Consider the following 4,301-nt stretch of genomic DNA (forward strand, 5'->3'; position numbering starts at 1 on the left):
CATCTGGGTCCACAACATGAATGAAGGTGAGGTAGATACATCTGCAATTCACCTAGACCTGGTGCACAGAATCCCAGCCTGAGCTGGGTAAATAAGGTGGCCAGAAACAAAATGAATAGCACCAATCCAAATTATATTAACGTTTAATGAGCCAAGATTAAAACAGCTCCAGGGACTCGGAGATCTTGAGCAGGAATAAAAATCCAGGCTGATGAAATACCACTTCAACTGGCTGTTGCAGAGGTTTGGATTCTGTATTCTCAGAAATCTGCACATTTCCCACGCAGCTGAAATACCTATTAAAACCCATATTTCACCATGATTGTTTGCATCTCAGTACCTCTTTAATGGGGGGCACAGAGAGATGGGATTTGAATCAGAGGGGAAAAGATGCCTCAGGAAACTTCCTTAATAATTAAACTCAGTACTGAGACCAGCTCAATGCCACCAAAATGAGGTGCAGATTTGGGGAAATTGGAGAACTAATTGTAGGATTTTAAAAACTTGGCAGATTATCGTGTTTGAATAGAATTCTGAACCATTTGAATTTGGACCACCCCCCATCCCCCGCACCCAGCCATCTGCCATTCTTAAAAGTTGGCAATTTTGTTAGTTCATTTGCATTGCTATAAAGAAATACCTGAGGGTGGGTAATTTATAAAGAAAAGAGGTTTATTTGGCTGTACAAGCAGCATGGTACCAGCACCTGCCTCTGGTGAGGCCTCAGGAAGATGACGATCATGGCAGAAGGTGAAGGGGAGATGGTGTGTCACATGGAGAGAGTGAGCAAAAGAGAGAGGGAGGAGGCACCAGGCTCTTTTCACCTGAGATCAGATCTCAGGTGAACTCATAGAGTAAGAACTCACACATTGCCACAAGGACAGCACCAAGCTGTTCATGAGAGATCTGACCCCATGACCCAAACACCTCCCACTAGGTCCCCCTCCAACATTGGTGGTCACATTTCAACATGAAATTCAGAGGGGACAAAACATCCAAACCATATCAGCAATAAATATAAAGCATCATAGCCGACAGCACAAATGTATAACAGTCAGAGCTCAAATTCAAGTTTAATCATTTAAAAAATCAAGGGGCAAATTACTTAACCTCCCTACAACTGTCTACTAATCTCAATAACAGGAAGAATAATAATCTCCACTGAGGAATTGTTGGTGGAGTTGCTTGACATCCGTATATGGATTATGCTTAACAAGTTACCTGGCATCTAGAAATAGTGCAATAAAAACGGTATTGTTGTTATTGTTATTCTTTTTATTACTTCATTTATTCAACAAATATTTATTTAATGCTCACAATGTGCTAAGCTCCATGTTGAGGTGCACAACGGTGAGGGGAAAAAATAAGCAAGCTTCCTACCATTATGTCAACAGACAAATAACTAAAGTAATTCCAGTTTTAAGTAAGTGCCATGTAGACATTAAACAGGGTTTTCAGTGAAATAAAAACAGGTGTACCTATTTTAGGTAGGTGGTTCAGGGAAGGCATTTCTGAAGAGGTAGCTTCTGAGATAAAAATTAAAGAGGAGAGAGAAAAACCACTACGGGAGTGGAGAAAAAACAGTCTAAGAAGGAGGAAGAATATGTTCAAAAGTCCTGAGTAGGAAAACATGCAGGTTACAGGAGGGACTGAAGAAGAATCACTATGGTTAGACGGCTTTGAGCAAGGGAGATTGCACAGATACGAAGAGGCAAAACTGTGCATACACTTTTTGGCCATGGTAAGAAGTTTAGATTTTATACTAAGATTAATGGGAAGCCATTTATGAAATTTTCTGGCAGAAGAGTGTGTTCAAACATGTGTGATAATTCAATATTCTCCCCCCCAAACCCTTGATTATCCTTAAAGGTCTAAGGCAGCACACAGAAAGAAGTTTGGACTCCTGTCTCAGTCTCCAACACAGACTCCCCAGTGGGAGTTCATTCGTATTCCCTAGATGTTTCCACTCACAAGACGAATGAGAAGGCCAAAATACTACCTTAGAGCAAAACATAACCAATATATATAGTAGCAGACCAATTAATAGTTTGCTTGGGGGAGGCAGGGTTAGATTGTAGCTCCAGACGGCAGCAAGTGAAGGCTTGCTTTGTGAATTTTAGCTCCAGATTGACTGCAAGAATAAACCAGCAGAGGACCCAGAGGCCGTCTGAAGGAACCAGACTGCTCCTGCAGGACCCAGCTGACGCCCCAAATAATGTCAGTGCACCGAATGTGGAAGTGGGAAAGGGAGACCCTCCTCTCCCGAACACACACCCCTGCTGGAGAAGCTGAAGGTCTGTTTGCGGGAGAAGTTTCTGACTTTACCTGCAGCTGAGTCAATTTAGAGAGCTGAGCAAAATACAGGGGTAGAGGAAGCAGTAGAAAGGCCCTGGGAGCTTGCTGAGTCCCCGAGCAGCCCATTCCTGCCTGGCACCACAGGGATCCACCGAGAGGGTGGCCAGAGGAGCAGCGGGTAAAACTCCACAAAGAAAAGGAAATCTCTAGCTAAACTTTGTAACGATTCAAATGGGGTGAGAGGCCTCCTTGCCAGAACTCAGGGGAGGGCCCAAATCCAGTGAGCAGACTCCACAGGCAGGGGAACAACCAAGTCCTTTTCTTTCACAGCTGAGAGGTGGGTAGCCTGGGGCAGGTTTTCAAGCCAGTCTTGCCTTCCACCTGGAAACAAACCCAGAGCTGTTGGTGTGGGGGCATGGTGGGTGTGGGGGCACGGTGGAATTGAGACCAGCCCTTTGGTTTGCATGGGAGCTGGGTGAGGCCTGTGACTTCTGGCTTTCCCCCACTTCCCTGACAACCTGCATGACTCAGCAGAGGCAGCCATAACCCTCCTAGGTACACAATTCTAGTGACCTGGCACTCTCACCCCCACCCCCACAGCAGCCACAGCCAGTCTTCTCCAAGGAGAGTCTAAGCTCAGACATGCCTAGCCCCGCCCCCCACCTGATGGCCCTTCTCTACCCAACCTGGTAGCGGAAGACAAAGGGCATACAATCTTGGGAGTTCTACAGCCCTGCCCACCGCCAGTCCCTCTCCATACTACCACAGCTGATGCTCTTTAGAAAGCACCACCTCCTGGTAGGAGGCCAACCAGCACAAAAATAGAATATTAAACCACCAAAACTAAGAACCCTCACAGAGTCCACTGCAACCCCACCGCCACCTCCACCAGAACAGGCACTGGTATCCAAGGCTGAGAGACCCATAGATGGTTCACATCACAGGACTCTGTGCAGACAACCTCCAGTACCAGCCCAGAGCTGGGTAGACTCACCGGGTGACTAGACCCTGAAGAGAGACAACAATCACTGCAGTTCAGTTCACAGAGAGCCACATCCATTGGAAAAGGGGGAGACTACTACATCAAGGGAACATCCTGTGGGACAACATAATGTAAACAACAGCCTTCAGCCCTAGACCTTCCCTCTGACAGAGCCAAATGAGAAGGAACCAGAAAATCAACCCTGGTAATATGATGAAACAAGGTTCTTCAGCATCCCCCAGAAATCACACTAGTTCACCAGCAATGGATCCAAACTGAGAGGAAATCCCTGATTTACCTGAAAAAGAATTCAGGAGGTTAGTTATTAAGCTAATCAGGGAAAGACCAGAGAAATGTGAAGCCCAATGCAAGGACATCCAAAATGATACAAGAAGTGAAGGGAGAAATATTCAAGGAAATATATAGCTTAAAGGAAAAACAATAAAAAATTCAGAAAACTTTGGACACACTTTTAGAAATGCAAAATGCTCTGGACAGTCTCAGCAACAGAATTGAACAAGTAGAAGAAAGAATTTCAGAGTTTAAAGACAAGGTCTTCAAATTAATCCTATTCAATAAAGACAAAGACAAAAGAATGAGAAAATATGAACAAAGCTTCCAAGAAGTCTGGGATTATGTCAAGCAACCAAACCTAAGAATAATTGGTGTTGCCAAGGAAGAAGAGAAATCTAAAAGCTTGGAAAACATATTTGGGGGAATAATCGAGGAAAACTTCCCCGGCCTTTCTAGAGACCTAGACATCCAAATACAAGAAGCACAAAGAACACCCGGGAAATTCATTGCAAAAAGATCTTCACCTAGGCACATTGTCATCAGGTTTTCCAAAGTTAAGACGACGGAAAGAATCTTAAGAGCTGTGAGACAGAAGCACCAGGTAACCTACAAAGGAAAACTTAACAGATTAACAGTCGATTTCTCAGAAGAAACCCTACAAGCTAGAAGGGGTCAGGGACCTATCTTCAGCCTCTTCAAACAAAACAATTATCAGCCAAGAATTTTGTAT

General features: G+C 44.5%; 4 annotated features.

The window, feature by feature from the left end:
* Positions 2,096-2,307: a silencer, noted in NCBI's record as "fragment chr3:8082011-8082222 (GRCh37/hg19 assembly coordinates)". NCBI's record gives its function as "represses an EF-1alpha promoter that drives an FKBP-Casp9 reporter gene in an ReSE screen in phorbol 12-myristate 13-acetate-treated (for megakaryocytic differentiation) K562 erythroleukemia cells {active_cell/tissue: K562(+PMA)}" and the evidence as "EXISTENCE:reporter gene assay evidence [ECO:0000049][PMID:32094911]".
* Positions 2,096-3,572: a biological region, named in NCBI's record as "MED14-independent group 3 enhancer GRCh37_chr3:8082288-8083487".
* Positions 2,238-2,824: an enhancer, noted in NCBI's record as "H3K27ac-H3K4me1 hESC enhancer chr3:8082153-8082739 (GRCh37/hg19 assembly coordinates)". NCBI's record gives its function as "activates a minimal SCP1, AML or CMV promoter by ChIP-STARR-seq in naive H9 embryonic stem cells {active_cell/tissue: H9 hESC(naive)}" and the evidence as "EXISTENCE:reporter gene assay evidence [ECO:0000049][PMID:30033119]".
* Positions 2,373-3,572: an enhancer, noted in NCBI's record as "MED14-independent group 3 enhancer chr3:8082288-8083487 (GRCh37/hg19 assembly coordinates)". NCBI's record gives its function as "activates an origin of replication core promoter dependent on BRD2, BRD4, P300/CBP and CDK7 cofactors, and independent of MED14, by STARR-seq in HCT116 cells {active_cell/tissue: HCT116}" and the evidence as "EXISTENCE:reporter gene assay evidence [ECO:0000049][PMID:35650434]".

The sequence above is a fragment of the Homo sapiens genome, chromosome 3 (assembly GCF_000001405.40).
Source record: "Homo sapiens chromosome 3, GRCh38.p14 Primary Assembly".
Taxonomy (NCBI): domain Eukaryota; kingdom Metazoa; phylum Chordata; class Mammalia; order Primates; family Hominidae; genus Homo; species Homo sapiens.